Raw genomic sequence first — 27,244 nt, 5'->3', positions numbered from 1 at the left:
TGGAGCTGGGAGAGGATGAACCAGCTCACACAGGGCCCACAGCAAGTACTACCTGGCTACTGCTGTGATTATTCACAGACAAAGTTTCTTCAGTCAGCAAGTAATAAATTATGTCAGAACTGGGCCCTTCCCTTTGAGGCAATGGGTTCTCTTCTGGCCCAGAGAGTGTCTACAAATGTCATCTGGGAGCTAGGGCCTGGAATACGGGCTTCAAAACTCTGCTTGGTGCCCTATCCTATTGTTGCTGAGTTGATATTTAAGTTGTAAGACAAAGTTCTCATTACTCTTTTCTGTCCTCTCATCAAGCAGAAAGAAGGAGTCTAGCCCAGAGTTGGGAGCTGCACTGCCTGAGGTTAGGGAAGGGGTGGCACTAAGCACTACCTTGGCTGCCCCAGCTTGTGTCTTACAGGTCACATGCCCCACAAGTATACTGGCTTTGAGATCAGCACAGTACCAGTACTTGCCAAGGAACTGCTGTCCTTTTGGCCTAGACTGCCTTTTTAAGTTTACTTAGAACCTAGAGCATTTTAGCTTGCAGTGATGAGGATTGCCAGAACTTAGGTTCTGACCACTGAGATCAGTGATTCCTCTCTGTGTAGGACTGGTCTCAATGCAACCTCCATGGGCATTGACTGAGTTCTGCCTGATATTTCTTTCTGCTGTGACAGGGTAGCACTGAGTTCCAATGCAAAGTCTCACAATCACTGTGCTCTCCCTTCCCTAAGTGCACAGTTTATCTCTACACTCCATGGGGCCCACTGCTGTAGGATGGGGGAGGGGTGGCATCAGCAATTCAAGACTGTCTTTTCTACTCTCTTCAGTGCCTCTTTCAGTGACATGAAGTTAAAACTAGGCTCTGTGATCACTCACCTGATCTTTGGTTCTTATGAAGGTGCTCTAATTGTGTGCATACTAGTTCAATTTGGTGTTCTTGTGGGGGAGGGGATGATTGGTGTAGGCTTCTATTTGGCCGTCTTACTCTGCCTGATTTCTCTTATTCTTATACTATTAATTCTATTTTAATTTGTGTAATCCTGCAGAACACTGAACACCCAAAACTTTTAGATATAACAACTGCAAAGAGAGAAGTACAAGACTTGGAAAACAACAGTGATTACAAATTCACAATATTTATTTCATTTATACTCTTATTTGGTCCTAAAAGGATTTAATGAAGGTGGTTTTTCTTTTCAAAGTGTAAAATATAATAAGATTAAGTGATATGAGAGCAACATTTAGCAGTACAGAAACATCGTGAAACTGTTTTGTTTGTTTATTTTTAGGGTCTATTAGAGGCTCAATATAATCTTTCTATGTTAAAGAGAAATGAATGGAAAGGAGATAAAAGCGGTAGACTAGCTAACAAAAATATCTGTGTCAGCCAGAAGGGCTGCCATGGACAAATGGTAAGGTAAATCCCAAGATTCATATTTTCTTCTAGGCTAATTCTTTCTAGCCTGGGAGGTTAGAAAGCTCATGCCCTCTGCTGATTTTACCTAAAATCCACTTGGAAGAATTCTTATGGTTGTAATTTGCTTTTTGGAATCCCTCCTCCATGGCTCAGTGCCTGGCATATATTAAATACTTAGTAAATGTTAAATGTTTTATTGCTAGAATGCATCATGCAAATTATATGGAGCTTTATGATTTCAGGAGAGAATGACATGAATATTCTGGATTCTTTGTATTCCTAAATCTATAGAGCATTTAAATGTGTCTCCAAGGATACACCAATAAAAAACACTTTTCCTTATTTTATTATGGATACAGTTATCCGTTAATTAAAATAACCTTCAAAATGTTTTCCAAATGAGCAAAATTGTCCTTTATAGTTAATACCTCTGAATCTGACCAATAAACAATTTAGAAATAAGATTTAGAAGTGGGATGTTATATCTGTAAACAAAAAAGATCACTTGCTCTTTATGCCAGAGGCGAATGGTCCTAACTCCAAAAAACTTATTAAATTTAAGTCTTAGTTAAAAGGCACCTATAAAATCTTTATTAAGCATTCCAAGAGATGAAAGTTGTCCACATTAAATTGATATGTGAAATCTGAAGCCTTATCTAAGCAACCTGGTTAGAAAGTTGTTCCTTATTCCTGCATAATACACCAGTTACAATGGGAGCTGAGTCCTAGGGGTCTATTTCTTTTACAATCATTAACATTGGAGGAGACACATAAACTTATAATTAAGTGTGAGATAAATAGTATAGGCTGATCCACATGGCTATAGAGTGATTACTCATTAGGGATAATGAAGAATAAGATTTTTAAAAGATTCCGTAGATTAGGAGAGATATTAAAGTGGGGGGGTAATTAAAAACTTGGAAGAGAAAATAAAAGGAAGCTGAACACCTGTCCAGAAAGGTTATTTGAGAAAAGTGACCACATTTAGACAAGATTGTCTTTTGTATTTTATTTCTCTATTTGGATAAATGTATAATGGTGTTATGGATTTTATTAAAAATTGCTGTAACATCATCACATAATTCTCATTAAGAATTCTGCCCTATTCTTTCATCCTGGGTCTTTGCCTGAAGTACACGTTCACACTTTTCTCCTTCTCCCATCTTTCTTTCCTTCATACATGTATCTGTATATGCTCATTTAATATTTCCCAATTAAGTTTACTTTCAGTTATACAAGTAATACAAAAGTACATCTAATAAAAAAATCCAAGTGACAGTGATGAAGAGTAAGTCTCTTTTGGGGGCAACCTTCCTACCTCATTTCTTTGCTTCCATCTATGCTACTTTATCACCAGGGGTAATCCCTGTAACTAATCTATGTTTATTAATTCCCATAACTAATTTATGTTTGGATTATTTTCTAATATTATTTTTAAAGAAGATACAATTTTTCCTTCTTGAGAGCATTAGGAAAAGCAAAGCTGATGCACTGAGATAAATTCTTCCAATTCTGTGCTTCTATGTGGATTTAGAGATACCTGACCTCTGGCTGATTATGTGCTGATACTTAATTGACAAAACATTTTAGAGTATTTTTAGTTCTGGTGAGAAAAGAAAACCTTTCTCTTACCACATTTTTATACGTGACATAACTCTTAAAGGAAACAAATATTCTGATTAATACCACTTTGGCTACTTATATTTATAATATATGAAACAATCTTTTAGTAAATTTAATTCTATCCTTTACTTAATGAATTTTCCAAGAAGTTCATCATAACATGCATTTTTTTAGTGACTTAGAAGCACTTTAATTTTTATGGATGCCTTGTAATAATTATAGAGAATAATTGAATGAAGAATGGATAGGTTGACTCTTACAGTGAGTAAAATTCCTTCTTTCAAGCTAGTGGTGGGCATTAAATGATGAGTATTCCAGTTAGCAGTAGGCACACATTATAAGGTGATTTTCTTATCACATCTTAGTTAAATGGAGATGCTCTTAGGACAACATGTCATTATGTTCTTCCAGTAACATGAACTACTTTTGAAACATAGAAATTACTCTCTTGCATTGCATGGTATATAAACAACATATTCTGTAGTATAACTTATTTCTACATGCTGTTTCTCATAGTCAGTAAACTCAAGTAAAAAGTTAAATGTACATGGCAGATGCTTAAAATCTATTTTTTTGGAGTTTCTAAAATGTAACGTGCCAATAGCATGCCAAGAGCCAGGAAAGGAATGGTACGCAATAGTCTTTGCAGGGAGGGAAGTTCTACATAGTTTTGATGTGAACTTAATTCTGAAGTCTTCAAATAAGCAGATGTCATGTTTACTCTGTAAAGTCACTCTTCCTTACTTGCATTGCACCTTGTTTCTTGAATGGTAAAGAAACGAGTGGAACCACAGTTGGAAACTCAGGTATTGTGCATATTCCACAGCCCAGTTTAACACAGCCTACCTTATGCCTTAGCATGAGGTAACTGACTACAACTGATCTATCACTGACAAAGTGACTGCAAATTATTCTAGTGCTTATAGAAATTTGCAGCTATTTCCCTGTCTTTTAAAATTTTACCCATGGATCAAATTTTCTAGTAACTTAGAAAATGAGATAAGACGAAGAAAAGATGAATAACTTAATCCTATGGAAAGTGAAAAACAAGGATAGAATGAACATTTTGATATGATTATGACCAAATTTAAAGGCAGACAAAATATGTTGTAATACACACACATATAGAGATATGCATATACACACATTTATTTATAAAGTATGTAAATTTGGGGGTTTTCTTTTGATGTAGAGAAGACTGATCTATAATGTAGAGCCTTGTGTGTGGATTCACTTTGTCACATCAGTCAATTATTCCAAGCAAGTTCAGAGATTTCTAGATCTAAATCATAAATATGCTAAACAGAAGTAAAAAAAAAAAAATCTGGGATTTTGACCTTGCCTGTTGATTTTTGACCTCGCCTCACTCAGCTGTGATGGTATGATCCATGTAAAAGTTCTTTCTTTTTTTTTTTCATCCTACAGTGTGTGGCTTCATGTAAAAATAAAGGGAGGTAGCATGGGAGGGGCTTACTATTTCCCCAGCCCAGCCCATGGGTTGTAATCTTCCCCGTCAATAAACAGACTTTTTCCTACATGTTTCATTTTGCATATACCACCAAACTGAACGTACTTTGTGTTCCCAAGGAGACATTGAGAAAATCTCTATTGAAGACTTTAGGTAGTGTTCCCAAAGGTAGAGAGTTGGAGACCAGGGAGGAATTTTTAAACTGTCTTGGGTATTGTGAAGAGTAGATTTTTTTATTTTTTATTTTTTATTTTTGAGACGGAGTTTCGCTCTGTCGCCCAGGCTGGAGTGCAGTGGCGAGATCTCAGCTCACTGCAAGCTCCACCTCCCAGGTTCACGCCATTCTCCTGCCTCAGCCTCCCGAGTAGCTGGGACTATAGGCGCCTGCCACCATGCCCGGCTAATTTTTTGTATTTTTTTTTTTTGGTAGAGACGGGGTTTCACCGTGTTAGCCAGGATGGTCTCCATCTCCTGACCTCGTGATCCGCCCGCCTTGGCCCCCCAAAGTGCTGGGATTACAGGCGTGAGCCACCGCGTCCGGCCCCTATGAAGAGTAGACTTTTATTTCCCTCTTTATTGACAGACTGTCAATAAAGGTAAACTAATTCTTTCCATACTGTGGCGAAGGAAATTTGAAATGTGGCATCCTAATCTCTAAATTGATAAAGGTCGTGTATCAAAATAAGAACCACAAACAATAACAACCATGCACAAAACCCCACTCAACTCTGGTTTGATTAGTGTGGTCATTTGTGAAATTAAAATTAGACGGAGGAACCAAAATTTTTAGCCTCAAATTTAATTCCTGTTGTAAAATCTCAAATAATATTGGAGGTCATATTTGCATGCTATAAATACTAAATATTGCCAAAAATTAAACCACTAAAATTAAGCATCATTAGCCAGAGTTTCCTAGTTTCCATTAGCGGTACCATTTTTTAGTGCATCTTTTCAGAAGTGGTAAGTTATATATGTATAAACATCTTCTTCTTTTGTTATAAATTCTCTTTTCTTCTAATACTTTGGTATGATAAATTTATGTGGTAAGACCTGAGTTTAGCTGATGAAACTGGTACTGTAGACAAATTCTAGAACATGGCTTTTCTGTTTGTGGGTCTACTGGGGGAGATTCTAAAATTAATTTATTTGTAAAAAATAGGAAACTTCCCTACCCCCTACTTTTCCAACCAAATTGAATGGTGTCAGACTTTATATACCCCGGCTTCTTTTCTGGTTATGTCTTCATAATACTTCATATTGCATAAGTAATTAAAACCCCAAGCTAAACATAACCTCAGTGAAAGTTTTTCTGACCAAGCTTTCATAAATCCTAATAGTCTTGCCAATTAGAGAAACTTTATCAACTGTTTGAGTAGAGCCCATCTGATGGGATTTAATCTCTGTTCCATTCCTTCATTTTTAAAAACAGCTTTATTGAGGTATAGAGAAATTAGATAAACTTTATCAACGGTCTGAGTAGATCTCCTCTGATGGGATTTAATCTCTGTTCCATTCCTTCATTTTAAAAACAGCTTTATTGAGGTATGATTGATATACAGAGAACTGCACATATTTAATGTGTATACTTTAATAGGTATGGATATATGAAAGTACTCCTGATACCACCACCATAATCAAGGTAATAGACATATTCAACACCTCTCAGTTTCCTTACGTCCCTTGTGTGTGTGTGTGTGCATGTGCGTGTGTTAAGAATATTTAATAAGAAATCTACACTCAACAAATTTTGAGGTGCACAATACCATCTTATTAACTACAGGCAATACGTAATACAGAAGAACTCTAGAACTTATTTATCTGGCATAAGTGTAACTTTATATCTAATGAACACCTCGTTTTCTCCACTTCCTAGCCCCTGCCAACCACTATTGTATTCTCTGCTTCTATGAGTTTGACTGTTACAGATAACTCAGAAGTGGAATCATGGACTATTTGTCCTTCCATGCCTGGCTTATTTCCCTTAGGGTAATAGCCACCAGGTTTATCCAGGTTGTTGTAAATGGCAAGATTTCTGTCTTTTTAAAGACTGAATAAGTTTCCATTGTATACATATACCACATTTTCTTTTTCCATTCTTCTGTCCATGTCCACTTGGGGTGGTTTTCATATTTTGGCTATTATGAATAATGCTGCAATGAACATGGATGTGTAGGTATCTCTTTGAGATCCTGATTTCAATTCTTTTGAATATATACCCAGAAGTGGAATGGCTGGATCATATGATAGATTTATTTTTAATGTTTTGAGGAACCTCCATACTGCACTAAATAGCTGCTGCACCATTTAACATGCCCACTAACTGTATAAAAGTGCTTCAATTTCTTCACATTCTCCCCAACCTTTATTATCTTTGTTTGGTTTTGATAACAGTCATCATAACAGTGTGAAGTGGTATCTAACTATAGTTTTTTTGTTTGTTTTTTGTTTATTGCTATAAACTCTCTTAAAACTGCTTTTATTAAGTAAGTAATAGTATGCTGTATTTTTATTTCCATTTATTTCAGGATCTTTTCAGATTTTCTTTTTGTTTTCTTCTTTGACCTATTTGTTGTTTAGGTGTGTAATGTGTAATTTCCAGGTATTTGTAAATTTTATAATTTTCCTGATGTTATTACGTGCTAGTTTAATATTATTGTGGTTGGAAAATATGTTGATATAATTTCAATCTCTTAAAGTATATTTACTTAAAATTGTTAGGACTTGTTTTGTGGTCTGTCCTGGAGAATATTCCATATGCGCTTGAGAATAATGTGTATTCTGCTTATGCTGGGTAGAATGTTTCGTATGTCTGTTAGGCTCATTTGGTCTACAGTGGTGTTCAAGTTCATTGTTTCCTTATTGATTTTCTGTCTGAATGTTCTGTCCATTATTGAAATCAGGGCATCACTTCATTCTTACTGAGGACAGTTGTTTACTCCATTCAAATTATAGATAATTATATTACTTTATTTCTTGATACATTTTTTGTAAGTTTGCCTTTTCCCAAGGGGTTACAAGTCCTAGGCACTGTTATTTCACTATTCACCACTGCCAAACACTATTATGATTGTATTTTCCCAGGTATATCTCTATATATTGTCTTTAAGGCTCTGTGGGCAATAAGTATGTAAAGGGCCAGCCCCCCAGCAAAGGCTTTTGTTCCAAATCCCTGGTTGAACTTGATGACTTAGACTTGACAAATGGATAGCTCCTTTGGCCCCTTTATAGTGACAGTAGGAAGAGTAAAATATATTTTTCTTAAAGCAAGAGAAGAGCCAGCTTAATCTGCCTGTACCAGGATTTTTATGGTGGCAACGATACTAGCCAGAACTCTCTCAGATCCTCCTACCTCAGGTGTATGGGAGAAAGACTTAGAAGAAAAAGAGAGAGGAATGGTGGGATTCTCTCAGAAGGGTAATATGCAACCTAAGCAAGCATGTATAAGAAGACAGTCAGCCATTTTTCTGGTCTTCACTTCCTTATCATGATGAATGCCCCACTCATTAGAAGAATTGACAAAAAATCTATTTTTTTGTTTGTTTGAGGAACACTCTCCTCTCTTTGGAACAAATTGATATAAAATATTTTTGGACACAGATGGCAATAGTAGGGTGAAACAAAATTTGTTTTTTGGCAAATGGGCATGGTATTTTGTTAAAACGTTAAAATTAATCTAGCTTAAAATTATTATGCTCTTATCATATGGCAACGATCTTCGGCACTCTGATGATTCCTTTTTTTGTGAGCAGGAGAGTAATTGCTTTTTGAAAAGAATCTTGGCCCTTCCCGTAGGTACTCCCTTGTTTATCTCTATGTGCAGATGGAGTGGCTTTCTCTTCAAGCATTTGTTCTTGTCAGACTTGTCAACTTTCATAAGAAAATGTCAATCCGGCCTCTGGGTTGAGGAGCTGTTAAAACATATGGCTTTGCACTTAACCGGAAAAACAGAATAGCTTCACTCCAGGTACTTGTCAGAGAATATAATCTTCAACTCACTGCCATTCAACATTTTTCAGAAGCTCAGCTGGGAGAAACAATATTTATGAAAGATTGCCTGAAGGACGTGGTGTCTGTCCATTCACCTAGCTCCTCTTAAATCTATCGTGTCTAAGCCAGGCAAGCAAAAATTCTGTAACACTGTTCTGGTTCCTGTGGGAATGTGCTTACTAAATTGTGGAGTGGCATTTTGCCATAAGCTTATGCTGAGTGATGTTAGAAGAAACAGATTTTTGAAAGCCACTGTGTTTACTGTGAGACTGTCATTTAATGATTCTTCACTATATTACACACTTTTTTCTTTAAGAGGGCCCACAGGAGAAACTTCTCTCTCATGTGAGTACCAGCCATGAGCGTGTTCTTCTTTGCAACTTGTATATTTATAAGCATGTAGACACTGAACCATTACTGATCCTGCCAATGCCTTTATTTGCTAGCAAGTATAAAACTAAAGTTGTAAACCATTTCTGGAAAGCATGCAGGAGTTTACAACATATATTTTGAGAGCTAATTACATGCCTGGCTTCACCTTGTTTGATTTTACCTGATTTACCCTTTGTTCCGAGTTGGATGGAGAAAGATAAGGAAAATCTTCAAAGGAAAGCTGATCAGTCGAGTCTGGAAGGACAGTAGTTCCTGGAAAAAGAAGATGAACTCACTCCATTTGTAGAGCATAATGCTTTGGGTCCACAGTTAAATCCACGCTTAAATGACATTTCATAGAAATCCAGGTCATATTATCATGTCTCACTCTTTTGTCATTGTCTGTCTGGGGCTCAGACATTCCACCTCTGGTGACCCACTTTTTATTTCTTCTGGGCCTCCACTAAGGGAAGAGTCTTTCTGGGGAATTGAAAAGAGAAGCATTTGTCAATGGGATGAGTGAGAAGGAGATACATTCTGGAGATGATAAGGATATATAATCCACAGGAATTACTTTGTTTTCAGAGTCTCATTCAGGAGTTATTAAAGTAGAATCATCTGAGTCTGAAGCAAACCATCCAGATAAAATACTGGCACCTGGCCACCAAGTGAATGTATGAGCCAGGCCATTAGTCACACAGATGCTTCTTTCACAGCTTGTGTCAAAATCTGTCACTGATTTTGGCAGCCGCAGGTTAAGTCACTCTTTTAGGGACATAGCCACATGCTACAGAAATGATAAATCTTGATTTTCACCAAATGTTAAAAGGCCTTTTTGCTTTCTATAAAATAATAATTAAAAGCAAATTTTATTTTCCAAACTCGAATTTATGAAAGATAATAAGAACTTTCTTTTACTAGTTTGTCATGTAATGACAATGTGCTATAAGGGTAATGCAGTGAGTTTTTCTTGAATCTAAAATTATTTAATTTAAAAGTAAGTCTGTGTTTCATTCTGAGATTATGTACTTCCTATTTTGGGTGTTCATGGCCAAATTGTCTTTATGAAATTGTAACATATTTTTTAAAAATTGCCTCCTATTGTTAAATAATAATAACAACAACAGTAATCATAACAACTTAAGTTAGTCTCTAGGGCTGGCAAGTATGGTTGTTCAGGTTGTATACTGCATAAGGCACATGAGTTACATATTTGGTGATTATTCAAATTCTGGAAACCACTAACTAAAAGGATGTCAGCTTTTTATGAGCCATATATATCCTTTCTCCCCCCTAGTTGGAAAAGTTAGCTGTTGTTTCCCACTAAACAATATCATCTCATGAAAGATTTCTGTGAAAACATTGTGGAGTAGAGAAGGTAATTACCTACACCTTTTCAAGCAATGTGGAGCAGATTAATATGCTTCACTGATGTGATGATGACGGCTGGAACCCTTTAAAAGACAGCTTCTGCAATTCAGCACCACAACTTTCCCAGTTGTCAATAGCAACGCCTCTTTCTCTGATTGTTGATTGGCACTGAAAAGCCTTCGTCAGCTCCTAAAATTTATTTAATGTGATACAACAGCATAGAAGACAGGAGAGCTTTTAGGCATTATATGCTGCCCTACTGTGTCTCCAGGAAATAAATTTAAATGATTTTCTACTTGGCTTCTGCTTCTCTTTTTATAAAGACATGCAGTGTAGTTAGCCTTCATGCACAAGTACACTTACACATTCACAACTAAAATGTGAAAGGCTCAGAGTTCTTGAAAGGTGAAGACAGCCTATTATTATGCCCTAAGCACACTGGACACAAAACCAGCACTTCACCAATTTTAGAAATTAAGTTTACAAGGTCCTACAACTAACACCACTACATGTCACTGCATGATTCTACAAGGATAAGGAACCATGCCTTTTTGTGTCATTGAAATTTCTGTAGAACTCTTAATCCTGACTCAATTCACTACAGTGAAAACCTGAATAAATACATCTCATTCAGGAAGGGATTTTGCAAGGTTGAATGACTGCAGGTGATATTTTAAGCAAAAGGATTTTTCATTCTCTCTCTACTGGAAAGGCAATAATTTACCCAGTGTAGGTAAAATATGCTACTAGAAGCAGTCTTCCTTATAGGTTGTAGTTTTATTGTCACATTTCTAAAAGAGAAAATTGTCAAAATATAGTAAAAATTGACTGGCAGATTCCTATATTACTGGATTTGTGGATAATTTCTGATGTGAGAGATTAAAAAGTTACTGTGCAGCAATTAAATTAGTTAAGAAAATCACTTTAATAAGGCATTAAGGTTTGGCTTATCCTTCTCCAAGAAAATCATGTGATAAACCATTTCTTCATCCATAAGCTGTTGAGTTCTAAAACAGAGTGGTACATATTTTATAAAAGTTTACATTACTTTTTAAATATGAATGAAATGTAAGTCTAGTTTTATTTGAAATGCCAGTAATAATCTCAATAGGTTATTTTTTCCTAAAAATTTAATAGGCATTGATAGTTCTAAGTATTCTGGCCCTAGTAAAGCTTTTGGGAAAAACGTAAATATAAATAAATATTAAAATTAGATTTTGTTAATTTCATAACAACACATATCTTTTTCTATTCTCTCTCTCTCTCTTCTTTCCTTTACCTTCGTTTCTTTCAATCCTATCTCTTCCTACATGTTTCACTTTTGTTTCCTGTTGGAATATTTTTTCCTTCCAGCCACTCAGATCTCTTTGACTATAAAGACTCTGTTCTTCCCTTTTGCAGCACTGATTGCAAGGGAGGTGGTTGCTAGGGTGAAATATCTATTTCCGGAAATATTTAAGCCTAACTTTTAAGAAAATCTAGAAAATGTATGCCACTTGCAAGTAAGGAGATAACTGATTTCCTCAAAGGGACTCTTCTAACATGATGACTTCATTTTCCATCAAGAAAAGTCTCATTCATGACAACATATCCATAGAATCCAAATCATTTCCAAAAAAAATGAGATACATATTGATAGGAAACAATGTAAAATTAAAATGAACCATAAACTTTTCCTCTTCCCAAAAATAGAAATGAGAGATTCTACTATCATGTTTGGTAAATTTTTTACTAACTATTTATTATTTTTACTTTTGGAATAAAATTTGGATTCAGTTTCCTCTAGAGTATTTTAGAGTCTTAAAGATCAATAAAATAGGCATTTATACTAATTTTTTATTAGGCTGGGAAACTGAAATTTACACTTTTATTTCACTGGTGCTCTACTCCAACCTTCTGTAATATTTATTTCCTTATTTCACTTTGAGCTCATTATTTTATTCTTCTTATGTTATTTATTTGTTTATAGGCTTTTTAAAAAGAATGGTCCATTTGGAAAGCTTAAGTGAGGAATTTATAGAGCTAACCAGTTCAAATAAAAAAAAACACACAGTATCTCTACATGACAAAATAAAATAATTTAAAAAATAACTACTACAATATGTTAAATGTAAACCATAGTGGTAAACATTACTTTAGATCATGGCAACTGAAATGTCTTTTTTTAAATAAGTTTCCAAAAGGCAAAGTTAGTACAACCTGATCAATAATGCTGTTTTAAAATAAAAAAAAACCCAAAAACCTTGAAAAAGGGTTTATAGATGGGTAAATATGTTTTCTCCTCAGCACTTTGCAATACTAATAATTTTTCCCTCTCTTTTCTGCTGTGGTTGAGTAAAATAGACAATAGCAAAACCATTTTTTTTTCCTTGCTTTAAAACTTGCTTACCTGGGTTAATATACTAACATCAATCAAGCTGATGTTCAGGAGGCAATAAATAGCTATAAACTGTCCTACATGTTTAATCCTTTCTGCAGCATGGAAAATGTGAACTTGATTCCTGTGTTTTAAAAAGAGTTATGACTTTATATAAAATTAATTTAAAAATTTGTGGGTGAAGGCATTTGTATATTCACATCCCTCTATCTTCTCTGGTTATAATGCAGTTAGTCACTCTTCAATACCATTTTATCGCCATGTTTTTTAAAGTGGGGTTCATGAACAACTGGTGTCCTTGAATTATCAAAAATGCAAGTACCAGCCAATATCTTAAGTTCCCAGTCAAAATGGGCAGAGAAGGAACTAGAAGTGGGGCAGGGGTCAATTTTTATCTCATTGCAGTCAGTTGATCACCTTCATTACCTGGACCTTATATCACTTTTTCCACATGACATAGACTTCCCTTCATCTCCCTTTTCCATGAAATACAAATGAGCAAAGAATGTGAGTGCTCTGTTGTCTTTCTTTTTTTAAAAAAAATATGGGTACGTTGCAGGTATATTTATATATTTATGGGGTATACTAAATATTTTGATACAGGCATACAGTGCATAATCACATCAGGGTAAATGGGATATACATGACCTCAAGCATTTATATTAAAGTTGCAAACATTCCAATTATATTCTTTTAGCTATTTAAAAACATACAATAAGTTATTGTTGATTGTAGTCACTCTGTTGTGTTATCAAATACTAGACCTTGTTCATTCTCTCTAACTATATTTTTGTACCCATTAACTATCCTCACTGTCCCCCACACCTCTGCTGCCCTTCCCAGTCTCCAGTAACCATTCTTCTATTCTCTATCTCCATGAGTTTAATTGTTTTAATTTTTACCTTCCACAAATAAGTGAGAACATGCTAAGTTTGTCTTTCTGTGCCTGGCTTATTTCACTTAACATAATGACCTCCATCCATGTTATTGCAAATGACAGGATCTTATTCTTTTCTATAGTTGAATAGTACTCCATTGGGTATATGTATCCATATTTTCTGTATCCGCTAGTTTGCTTATGGACACTTAGGTTGCTACCAAATCTTGGCCATTGTGAATAGTGCTGTAATAAACACATAAGTTCACATATAACTTCAATATACTGATTTCCTTTCTTTTGGGTATATACCTAGAAGTGAGATTGCTGTCATACTATAGTTCTATTGTTAGTTTTTTGAGGAAACTCTATACTGTTCTACATAATGCCTGTACTAATTTACATCTCCACCAACAGTGTATGAGGGTTGCCTTTTCTCCACACCCTTTTATCCAAACAATAGGCATTCATTATTGCCTGTCCTTTGGATAAAAGCCACTTTAACAAGGGTGAGATGATATCACATTGTAGTTTTGATTTGTATTTCTCTGATCAGTGATGTTGAGAATCTTTTCATATACCTGTTGGCCATTCATATGTCTTTTTTTGAGAAATATCTATTCATATCTTTTGCCTATTTTAATGATTATCAGATTTTTAGATTATTAGATTTTTTCCTGTACAGTTGTTTGAACTCCTTATATATTCTTGTTATTACTCCCTTTCAGATGGATAGTTTGTAAATATTTTCATCCATTCTGTGGATTGTCTCTTAACTTTGTGGATTGTTTCCTTTGCTGTGCATAAGATTTTTAACTGTGTGTGATCTAATTTGTCCATTTTTGCTTTATTTGCCTTTGCTTGTGGGGTGTTATTCAATAAATCTTTGCCCAAACCAATGGCCCTGAGAATTCCCCCATTGTTCTCTTTCATTAGTTTCATAGTTTGAGGTCTCAGATTTACGTCTTCAGTTCATTGTGATTTGACTTTTGTAAATGATGAGAGATAGGGGTCTAGGGATTAATGTTATTAATTTGCATATGGATCTCCAGTTTTCTCAGCACCATTTATTGAAGAGACCATCCTTTTTGTAATGTATGCTCTTGGCACCTTTGTCAAAAGTGAGTTCACTGTAGATGTATGGATTTATTTCTGGGTTCCCTATTCTGTTCCATTGGTCTATCTGTCTGTTTTTATGCCATTACTATGCCGTTTTGGTTACTCTAGCTCTGTAGTATACTTTGAAGTCAGGTGTATTAGTCCATTCTCAGACAGCTATAAAGAAGTGCCCGAGACTGGGTAATTTATAAAGAAAAGAGGTTTAATTGACTCAGAGTTCTGCATGGCCGGGGAGGCCTCAGGAAACTTACAATCATGGAAGAAGGGGAAGCAGGCACATCTTACATGGTGGCAGGCAAGAAAGAGTATGTGAAGGAGGAACTGTCAAACACTTATAAAACCATCAGATCTCATAAGAATTCACTATCATGAAGACAGCATCGAGATAACTGCCCCTATGATCCAGTCGTTTCCACCAGGTCTCTCCCTGGACATGTGGCGATTATGGGGATTACAATTCAAGATGAGATGTGAGTGGGGACACAGAGCGAAACCATATTATCAGATAATGTGATTCCTCCAGTTTTGTTCTTTCTGCTCAGGATAACTTTGGCTATTCTCAGTCTTTTGCAGTTCCATATAAATTTTAGAAATTTTTTTTCTATTTCTGTGAAGAATGTCATTGGTATTTTGACAATAATTACATTGAATCTGTAGACTGCTTTGGGTAGCATGGACATTTTAACAATATTCAGTCTTCCAATTCATGAAGATGGAATATCTTTACTTTTTTTGTGTTTTCTCCAATTTCTTGCATCAATGTTTTATAGTTTTCATTGTGGCATCTTTATTTCTTTGATTAAGTTTCTTCCTAGGAGTTTCATTTTATTTGTAGCTATTGTTAATGGGATTACTTTCATGATTTCTTTTGTAGATTGTTCACTGTTGGCATATAGAAATGCTACTGATATTTGTATGTTGATTTTGTATCCTGCAAATTTACTGAATTTATCAGTTCTAATAGTTTTCTTGTGGAGTCTTTAGGTTTTTCCAAATATAAATCATATCATTTGCAAGCAACTATAACTTGAATTCTTCTTTTTGAATTTTGATGTCCTTCATTTTTTCCTCCTGTATGATTTCCCTACTTAGGACTTCCAGTTCTATGTTCAGTACCAGTGGTAAAAGTGGGCATACTTGTCTTGTTCCAGATCTCAGAGGAAAGGCTTTCGGTTTTTCTTCATTCAGTATGATACTAGCTGTGGCTCAGTCATATTGCTCTGTTGTCTTGAAGAGCTGATTTATTTGTGGCAGATGAGGCTCTTTGAGGGCCAATGTTGTAAGAGCTGCTTTGCTAATGCAAAGGTTGGGGAAATTGTGGATAAATTTGGATTCCAAAAGTGGCATTTAGTGACATAGTAACTTATACTGGAATTGAAGCCATGTAGGCATATTTTGTAAACTGTAATGTGCTTTTACATTGCAAAGTACTAGTTGTTTACTTAACACTGCAATCATTTGATTAATAAATTATGTATTTATATATCTACATATCTATCTCTCTCTATATATATATCCATCAGCTGCTTATTTAGAAGTCAGTTTGGCTGACTGGTTCAATTTAAGCACTGCATTAAAGTAAATTCTGTATATTTTCACACATTTCATTGAAGACATCCTAAATTTTTTATAAATAATTTTATGGAAATCTTTAGTAGAACTACATTTTCTTCTATTTTAAATGAACCATTGGACACTGGGAGGCCATTTCAGTAGCAGAATGGTAGTCAAATATCTACTGTTCAAGGCACTATTTGTTTCTAATCAATATTAAAAACAGTGATAATAATACAAGCAAAGAAAAATGTTGTAAACTGAAACCAAACAAAAATCAGACATTTGGCCAGGTGTGGTGGCTCACGCCTGTAATCCCAGCACTTTGGGAGGCTGAGGTGGGCGGATCACGAGGTCAGGAGATCAAGATCATCCTGGCTACCACGGTGAAATCCCATCTCTATTAAAAAAAAAAAATACGAAAAATTAGCTGGGCGTGGTGGCGGGCACCTGTAGTCCCAGCTACTTGAAAGCGGAGGCAGGAGAATGGCATGAAGCCGGGAGGCGGAGCTTGCAGTGAGCCGAGATCGTGACACTGCACTCCAGCCTGGGCAACAGAGCGAGACTCCGTCTCAAAAAAACAAAACAAAACAAAACAAAACAGACATTTATTTAAATAACTACTCATTTAAGTAATTGCTTTCTTTTTCTGATTTTAAAAGATAATTATTCATAGCATAGACAATAAAGACGTATAGAAGGGAGTGAATTCCGGCATAGTGAAGATGGGGTGATGAGAGTGGGAATAAGGGGTAAATGGGAAAACAGATAGCGAGAATGGGCAGCAGAGACTATGCTTCTTCCCTCATCAGGTTATTTGAATATTTGAATTAAAGAAGGAAATTATATATTGAGTGGGAAAATAAAGTTATTTTTACAAACATAGTGACATTTTGGCTGCATTTTATTAGGAAATTTATGTGATATTTAGAGTTGTTGAACTATTATTTTATAGTTGTGGGTTATAATTCTAAAAGAGTAAACATGTATCTAAAATATTAGATGTAATTTTAATTATACAATATTATGTTTAATTAAATCTGTAGCATGTATAGGTGAGTTTTATCTCAACTGTGACTTGGTGTTTTCAGTTACCACCTCTTGCCTACATTCGTCTCTTAGTATTCTGGTTGCGAAATGTTTACTTAATAGTATAATTGGTACTTCTCTTTATTGCTTCATTCACTCCTCCAACAAGTATTTGTTGAGAAGTAACTATGTGCTGGGTACTGTTCTCAACCTGGGTATGTGGCTGTTAAAGCAACAGATAAACTTCCTATTCTTGTGTAGTTTAAATTCTAGCAAGTGAGATGGAAAATATATGAATATCAATAATGCCAAGGGATAAGTGTGATAAAGGAAATAAAGGAAGGGGATGGGAAATGATAGAGTGTGCATTTTAAAGGGAGGGGGCAGGAGATATTTTAAACAAAGTCCTAGAAGGAGCTGAGGGAATGAATCAAAGGAAAAAGTATAAATGAAAGATTAGAAGTAAGATTAGGATAAAGTACGCTAAATGTCTGTAAAGAAGACAGCACTGAAGTTCTAAGTCAGTAATTCAATTCTGAAATAAATCGTATTTTTTCAAAAGCATATTTGGTAGCTTCTATTTATATGACTGAAAAAGCTGCATTACTGCAAGCTAGAAACATTTTTCATTGAAAAATGCACTCTATTCATTCTTTAGGCAATTTCAAGTTAACTTTCTAAAATGAACTAAGATTTAATTTTATCATGATTATATTGAAATGTTAAACTTTGCAGTTCATTTAGATTTATGAAGAAAAAGTCATATAATGAATTCTAATGTGATTTCAGCTAAATTTGGAAGTCAATTTCTTAAGAAATGAAGAAATGTGTTACATTACTTAGCAGAGATCACTAAGACTCAGCCTGGTTTCTCCAAAAACAAGTGATGCTGAATTAGCTTCATGTCCTTTTTTTGACAGAATTGTTAGGCTGGTAGATCAGGGGAAGGATAGAGATATAATTTATTTGTATTTATTAAAGTAATATAACCTTTCTTTAAACTTTTGAAGAGATATGTACTTGGTGTTAGCACAGCTACATTTCTTGGAAACTGACTGATAAGGTATATCCCAGATTGCTACGTAACAGATAAACTTGGCTTGGAGAAAGTTTCTGGTAATGTGGCTTAGGGAATCTATCCTTTCCCTGTACGTCAACTTTTTTTTCCTAATGACTTAACTAAATGAATCAGGTTCTAAGCTAAACTTGATGTGCTAGAATGATGTGGCAGAGCAGCAAAATGAAGTTTCTCGGGATTAAACATTAAAGTTTTATCATTGGATCAAAAAAATCAGCTCCAACAAAGAATACAGAAGAGACATGGCTTAGAAAAAGCATGTGTGGAAACTAAGATTTTTGTTCAATGAGGGTAAGCAGTTTAATGTGCTGCCATGATTGCACCTTGGGCTGTGTCATTACAAAAAAATCATGTTTGGAAGATAGGTGATTTATTCTTTGCCTTACTTTGCATTAGGCAGGTCACATGCTATTTTTAATTTTATGCATAAGACTGTATTTTTAGGAATGCATTAGAAGAGAGATCAGGATAGCGAAATAATATGATATGAAGAAACATTTTCAAGTCAAGAGGCTACCTACCTAGAAAAGAGAAGACCTGACAAATTGTAAGAAGCTGCAGAGAAGGACATAAATAGAAACCAGATGAAGTCAGATTTAAGCTTAATATGACTGTAAGCTAAGGATAAATTGATCTAAAGATGGACTGTATTAGTTTGTTAGGACTGCTGTAACCAAGTACCACAAACTGAGTGGCTGAAACAACAGGATTCCAGTGTTTGATGGAAATCTTTGCATTCCTTGGCTTGTAGGTGCATCACCTCTATCTCTTCCTTTATGTTCACATGGTATTCTTCCTGGATGTGTGTCTATTTTCAAGTTTCCCCATTTTATGAGGACACCAGTAATACTGGATTCAGGGCCTACCCTACTCTACTAAGAACTCATCTTAACTAATTATACCTGCAATGATCTTTTTTCCAAATTAGGTCACATTCTGAGGTACTGGGATTAGAAATTCAACATATGACTTTTTGAGGGTTACAATTTAACCCATAACAGTGACTAATAGCTGATTATCCTCCTAGGAATAAAGACATGTGAATATGTCTCAAGGGTTTGTTATTCTTTATAAACACCAACATCAAAAACAGTAAGATAGTCTGCTTTAGAAATATACATATTTTAAAAATATTTTCTATGATTAAGAAGAGGGTAGGGAATATTTTTTGAAAAATCCATAAAATATCTTTAGGGGTGAAATCTCTCATATGCAACTTCTACTTAATCATTGCTACTTGTTCGGTGCAAAAATAATTGCAGTTTTTGCCATAATGTAAAGTCAAAAACTGCAGTTACTTTTGCACAAAACTAAGAGATAAACCTAAACTCTGCATTATGTCTATCAGATATTCTGATGATGAATGTGCATGCTGAATCCTGACAATTATGAGGCTCATCTCAAATGTGACTGCTCACTTTTATTCCCACTTATTCAGTACTTTTTTTTTTTTTGGCTTGGTAAGATCCAGTTATATTTGTTCCCAAACCTGTGTATTTCAGACATTCTGATAGAATTATGTGATTTTACAAATATTATCTAAACCCACAGTATTCAAGTTAGTAAAAAGTAAAGTAGTTGAAATGAAAATAAAGTTTATTCTTTGGAAATACACAATGAAGGCAAATTTTATTTTTTAAAAATATTGCCAAATTAGATGTGGGGAGGAAATTGTGAAAGCCTGGAAAAAAAATTGTCAAACTATGAAAGGATATGCATTAATTCCCTAACAAATGTCTTCTTTTCTCTTCAAAGACACTGAAACTGGACATTGTAGAAGATGAATTATGAGAGTGATTTATGAAAGAAAGACAGTGGAGAATTGCAATCGATGGAGACATTCAAAGAAAAGACTTTGGCACTACATCAAAAGAGAGTAGAATAAGTAGTCTTTGCTTATACATTTTAAATGAAAATAAATGTTTATCATACATATTTGCTGTTTTTTAAACTGTAATTCAATTACTAAGGCTGAAGGGAAGAATGGATGTTGGATAAAGAACTTTCGATTCTGTCATTGTTAGTATTATTTGTGTGCGTATGTGTGTGTGTGTGTGTGTGTGAATGTTGAGCTTCTCAGCTTCAATAGTTAGCAGGAAAAAGCACTGAATCGTGAAGCATAAACTACAAATATAGCATCTGTATGATATTCTCTTTAAAAAATGGTAAAATTCTAGGAAACAGTCTTTGGTGCTTGCTTTTTTAGAATGATTGGCATGGGATCTGAGTCTTAGTTTCAGCTTTTATGACTGCTTTTTACTGCATCAAATATTTGACCAGGCAAAGTACATTTCAATGAACAGCTTTACTCCCCTTTAAAAGAATCTGAAAGTCCAGCTAAAACTCCTCATCAAGTTAGCTGGGATCATGGTGTTCATTTTGGATGAGGCAATGTACTAATTCATTCAGTCAGCTCGATTTGACATTTCTGGGTTAGGGTATCTTCCTTAAAAGTTACACAATAAGTTGGAATTAAAGTGCTCTGCTTGCTTTTGATAAGACTGATCAAAAGAGTGATAGGAGTAATCACTACTTAGAATCCTATTTAATAAGTATTTTCCATTTATCTAACTCTAAGGAGAATTTAGGCTATTTGTCTAGTGAAATCCATTTGATACCAGGATTTGTTATGGCCATTCTACAATCAGGTGTTCCTAATGTAATGAATGAGATAAAAAATAATTAAGCTAACATTTATATGATGCTTACTACTTCCAGAAACTGTTATTATGCATTATTAACTGACTTAATCCTCCTTACCACTTTAGGGGGTAGATACTATTATTATTCCTTTTTTTTTCAGATGACGAAACTAAAGCACAAAGAGATTAAAGAACTTATCCAAGGTCATGCAGCTGGAAAGAAGTGGATTTGGGATTGTGAACATCACAATTTCACAAACTACATTTCATGATGGGTAGAGCTAGTCAAACGTCTGAAAATAAAGTTTGGTTTAAAGATGACCATCGTCTTGTTAAGAAATTATATAAATGAGTATCACTAAAAAGTCTCTCTTTAAACTCACCAAGCACTCTTCACTATGGACAAGAAAGTGTGAATATGGTTATTTTTTATTTAATATTTTCATGATGATTAACTGAAGGATCTGACAGTAAATAGTCTTTGGGTCTTTTTAAACTAAAACTCCTGTTGTTGTTGATAGCAATTGATGCAATTGATAGTAATGTGCTGTATCCCTCAGATGTATTCCAGCTGAAGAAGGTGGAGAGCCACTAAAATTTATTGTTCTATGTCATTTTTCCAAATCATCTTTTGATGACTGTCCATCTACATATTGCTCAGTGGCTTTATATTTAGAACATTATTTGGGAAATTGTAATTTCAAATATTTTAACCTATAAATATTCAATGAAGCCTTGGCAATGAAGAGTAAGACTTTATAAAACCTTGAATATATGAATAGCACAGTTCTGGTTATCTATGTAACAACATCCCCCATAGTAACCTAAAACAATGACATTACTATATCCCATGATTCTGTGGATTGCCTGGGCTTAGGTGGTAAGTTCTCAGGGTGTTGCTCATTGTCACACCCAGATAGCAGCTAGAACTAGAGTCATCTGCAAACTCCTTTTTCTTGTGTGGACCATCCAAGGTAGGTTTCTCATGCACATATCTAGTGCTTTGGTGCTTCTTGGCCTCTCTCTTTCCACATTGTATCTCATCTTCCTGGCCTCTCCACATGGCTTGGGCTTCTTGTTGCATGGTGTTACGAGGTACTCACACTGCTAACACAGTAGCTGACTTTCAAGATACACAAATTGGACCCTTTTAGACCAATTAAGGGCTATGGTGAAACTGGAGCAGTATCACTCTCATTGTATTCTATTGGCCAAAGTAGCAGAGGGCCTGATCAGACCCAAAGAGGTAGAGAAATAGATTCTACTTCTCAATGGGGGAGTACCAAGTTCATATTGCACAAGGGGATGTAGAATGGGAACTATTGTTGTTATCATTAGGTAATACAGTCTGCCTAAAGTACTATATCACCTAATTAGACTTGCTTTGCACATGATGACCAGGAGGAAACAAGATACTGTTTTGGAATGTACTCACTAAGCAGCTGCCTAGATGCTGCTTACCTAACAAGTGCCTTGTTTCCACTCAAGGTCATGGATCTTTGGGAGTCTAATAAGAGTGATGAAAAATTATTCATAGGTCTCCTTCCTTTACTATACAATCCTCGCTGCTAAGAGAAAGATGGGCAAAGGACCTGGGATGGATATCTTTGTGAATCTATCAATAATGGATAAAATATCTCATTTGTCTGCTTTCCTTATTATCTAATTCTTCCCTCTTAGAGGAGTCTGAGCAAAGGAGCCTAGACTGGGTGTATGGTGGAGAGTCAGTAACTAGGAGTAGAATCTAAATCAAATCAATAGTGTCCTAGTTAACCAAATCAAAGAGTAAATGTACAGAAACACAGGAAACCATGCAGGGTAATCAAGACTAAAATTCTGGGTTATAAGGAACAGCCTAAAACAATTCTGAGTTGCAAAATAAATGGCACCAATAATCTTATACTAAATTTCAGAATGTTAGGATAGGCCTTATTCTGCTTAAGATCAGAATTGGTTCAAGATACTGGGTTGGAGTTGAACTAGAAGGTTGTAGGTTGGTAGCCCCAGCTAGAAGGAGAGGCCTAGGAGGATGCCAAGGAGTAATTGGTAAGTTGCAAATGTTGAGTTCCTACCATGGACTTCTGCAGCAATTGGTGACTGATTTGTTAGATGTTGCAGAGAGACTCAAAACAACTATCAATCATCCTGTTAATTAAAAATATTCATTGGATTTTTAAATATATTATATTATATACTTTTGATAGGAAAACAATAGAATGGTATAAAATAATAAATTTTATTGTTTTACTTACATATTCTTTAATTTCTAGTAATCTGATATTTTTTCTTCTTCTTTTTTTTTTTGAGACGGGGTCTTGCCCCATCGCCCAGCCTGGATTGCAATGGCGCAATCTTGGCTCACTGAAACCTTCGCCTCCCAGGTTCAAGCAATTATCCTGTCTCAGCCTCCCGAGTAGCTGGGACTACAGGTGCCGCCACCATGCCCAGCTAATTTTTGTATTTTTAGTAGAGATCAGGTTTCACCTTGTTGGTCAGGCTTGTGTTGAACTCCTGACCTCAGGTGACCTACCCGCCTTGGCCTCCCAAAGTGTTGGGATTACAGGTGTGAGCCACTGCGCCCGGCCTATATCTGAATTTTTAAGAACTAAGTTTTACATTTGAAGGTAATGTAAATAATATATACATTTATGAATATCCTTGGTTGCATTATTTTTAATAGATTAATACTTATAATAGTATGAATCTACATTAGCTAAAAATGACCTTATGTATAGTTGATTTAGTTCTGGTCATTTTATCATTTTGATAAATTATGAAATTATATCATTGCATAGACTGGTTGATTTTTATACAATTGTTTGTGTGACTAATTGGGGAAAGACTGGAATGCTTACTACAAGGGTGATTTAGTTTTTGAGTTTAAACACAAGCTAAGGTTTCAATTTCCTGCAGTGGAAGTGCTTTCTGAGCTTGCCTGAATAGGACTAAAATCGTTCTAGCCAAAGAGGTGTTGAATAATGATGAATTTTTCTTAAGGTCAGCTGATCTATTTTTAAAGATAACATAGTGAATGAGAATCAAAGCTTATCATTTCTGAAAAATGACAATAATAATAAATTGCAATATACTTTTAAAGAGTAGCAGTTATATTTGGACAGAACTTTATTTTTTCCAGCATGTGAATCATTACCTAATAATATTTCATTTAATTAATCAGAAAATTGTGAGTCAATAGCTCTGCTTACAAAACCTATAAACAGAAACTCCAATTCAACCTTATCGCTACTAAATTTTAATGTTAAGAGACAACACAAATTAATTAAAGACAAAATGATTCACAAAATAATTACAGCCTCTTGTTGCCTTAGGGAATAATAAAGAACTAACTTATTTCAGTAGTGAGGCTATTAATGGTGTGCATGACAAAGAGATAAACCCAAGTATAGTTAATTCCATTTAAAAATTGCCTCTGGCAAATGAAGAAAATAAGTGAAGAAAAGAAGTGCTTGTGTATATATGTGTGTGTATATACATATATGAAGTGAGAGAATTAGTAAATTTTAACCTAATTTGTTTTTTAAAATAATTAATGTATAGGCCTTTTCTGTTGTGACTTTGAAAAAGTATTTGAAAACACTATATTTATTTTGCTGTTTATTTATTTATAATCTATATATCTATTATATAATCTATAATTATGTATCTATTAAATTATTTATAATTTATTAATGATTATATAATTGCACATGAGCACTGCTACTTTTTCATTTTGTGTTTTTAATATAAAATTCCTGTATTTTACAAATTTTTAACTAAAACAGCTACATTTAGTTCATTAGAGAGTTTCTTAAAAGTTTCTAAAATTTCAAAATATTTTGTTCTATCTTTTTTGTTTAGAATTTACATCCTTCCTGTTTTTCAAAAAAAATTGAAGTGGCTTATGAGATTACGCATAATACAAAATAAGAGAGTTAGAAATAGAATGAACAGATATCATCTAAACCATAGCAGAGGGAATGAGGTGAACAGACACCCAACATGAGTTGATAGAACTGGGGCACTGATCTTTGCTCTAACTTTCCCGTCAGCCAAGAAGAAAAGGAAAAATTTACAAAAGTACAGAACTTTAATTTCTGACTAGAGAAAGCATTAGGATATTAGGGTTTTTTTTTTAAATTTACTGGGCTCAAACTCAGATTGTGTTTTGGTATCTTGTCTAAGGGATGTTGTCTAAGGTACTGAGAAGTATTTTTGCTCCAATTTGAGACACACACATTCATTCTGTTCAAATATCATCATAAAATTTCATGCCTCCAATTAGAGGCATGGGATGCATGGCTCAAGGATCTGGCACAGCAGGCTGGCAGTCCCAACCACCTGCTTTTGCAGGAGCCTTCCCCTTCCCCTGCCAAGGGGTTTTACTCCACTGGGCAGTAATTGAACTAGTCTCCCTGGTGGAGGAACCACTTGCATAAGAGTAAGAGGTTCTTCCCTAGGCATTTTTAAACTGTTTTTTTCCTTTCCTCTTCTCCACCCCATCAGCAGTTTTTAAGCAAGTTTTGTTTTTTTCCTTTTAGAAGATGTTTTGCTATGCCAGGCCCCCCAACTGTCACTGTTTATATTTTCTGTAAAGCTTTAATTGTGAAAAAGGGTTTGTGGGGCTAGTCTTGGGCTGTGGCCAATCTGGTGTGCCAATTAATGCTTTCTTATTTGAAAAGTAATACATGTGTGTAGAAATAAGAATGTAAACGACCAAAATGGCATAAAATAAGAATGTTAAATTATTTAATAAAAAGTTAAAGTATTTTTAGATTCCTTACTTTCTCTCACCATCAGTCCCTTCCTCAGAAGTAGCAACTTATGGTATTTTAAGTTCTTTTGGTGGTTATGTCTATAACACTAAATAATATAGTTACACTTTATTTCTTGATTGTCAATTTAAGCAGTATTTACAGATTTTCTAAAATTGATAATGAAGGGGGCTCACTTACTCTTTTAACATTTCATTCTTTCAATCTCTCTCTCTCTCTCTCCCATTTTTATTAGTTATTATATTTTAATTCTTTTATTGATAAGCTGCAAATTCAGCTTCAAATATAGAGTAGAATTTTATTATTGGCATTAAAATCTTTATTTAAAAGAGCAGGCTGGATGCCCTGGTCCACACTTGTAATCCTAGCACTTTAGGAAGTCAAGGCCAGAGGATTCCTTGAGACTAGGAGTTCAAGACCAGCCTGGGCAACATAGCAAGAGCCCATCTCTACATTAAAAAAAAAAAAGAAAAAGAAAAACAGTAGTACTTAACACATATATTTTAAAATATATAACTGAATTATTTCAGTTAACAGAATAATTGATATCTTCTTATAGATTTCTGAGAGGAGTTTTGAAAGTCAGTGATTTTTATGTGAGGTGTATTTCAAGAACTCATTTTTTTCTTTGACTGCCTTTCTCTGATCTTTTTTTTAATCTAAAATTTTGATTTTGCATGTAACAGGGCTGGAGTTTCTTACTATGCAATACAGTCTACACCATTCTTCTGTTAATTGAGCTCATTTTCATCAAAGTTTTGGCCTATTCTTCAAAGAGCTTAGTTTAGTGGAGATCTCTAAGGCTTGAGAAAATGACATTTCTTCCATACATGTACTGTCTCCTGCAGCTTGTTTTTCTTGTATACTTACCTTCTGTCTTGTAACACTGTCTCCTTTTATTTATTTATTTTCACTTTTTTTTTGGTTTTTACTCCTCCTATTGATGTTTTGCTTTCTATTCTATGTTATGGGGCAATAATATTTTATTTTTTCTTATAGTATTGGCATCCTAGCAGAGATATAACAGGAAAATCAGAAAAAGAGAAATTTCTTTCATGGCAGTTCTTTTTCTATATTAGATTTCTCCCCTAAACCCAGAAAATTTGTTTTTTCTTTAAAAACTATTGGCTGCCTATTCCTTTGATTATATATTGGCCTCAAGACTTTCACATTTGAGTCCTTTAGTTCTCTCTGTGTGTTGCATATGAGTAGATGTGATATGCCAGAGCTTCTGAAGCAGAAGCTTTAAAAGGCAGCACACGTTTTTGGCCAGCTCTCTCACTCTTCCCTGTGGCATATCTAAAAGAGGAGCTAGTCCTGCTTTGATTCAGGAATTAGAAGTCCCATCTAGCAGAACCACAACCAATTCATAATTTAGGGGCAATGTGAGTGAAAAATAATTTTATAAGCCACTGGGATTTGGGGGTTGTTGCTTGTTACTTCAGCAAAGCTGATTAATATATGGGTCATATTTAAGCCTCAACCTTTGAAATATCTGGGCAAGGAGGAGCTACTCAGAATTTGAAATCACATGTTATTGAAAAAAGATGTCCAATTATCACAT

General features: G+C 34.8%; 1 long non-coding RNA gene across 3 annotated transcripts in view; it reads left to right on the top strand.

Annotated features, from left to right (window-relative positions):
• Positions 1 to 21,229, top strand: part of LINC02277 (long intergenic non-protein coding RNA 2277) — an 89,356-nt gene extending 68,127 nt beyond the window's left edge. For all 3 annotated transcript variants that reach the window (XR_001750743.3, XR_001750744.3, XR_002957611.2), the window contains exon 3: positions 20,022 to 21,229. This is a non-coding gene — a long non-coding RNA (long intergenic non-protein coding RNA 2277). The remainder of the gene's footprint in view (positions 1 to 20,021) is intronic.
• Positions 21,230 to 27,244: the final 6,015 nt, after the last annotated feature.

This window comes from Homo sapiens, chromosome 14 (genome assembly GCF_000001405.40).
Source record: "Homo sapiens chromosome 14, GRCh38.p14 Primary Assembly".
NCBI lineage: Eukaryota > Metazoa > Chordata > Mammalia > Primates > Hominidae > Homo > Homo sapiens.
The sequence above is the reverse complement of the archived record's forward strand: the minus strand, read 5'-3'. Positions and strand labels throughout refer to the sequence as shown.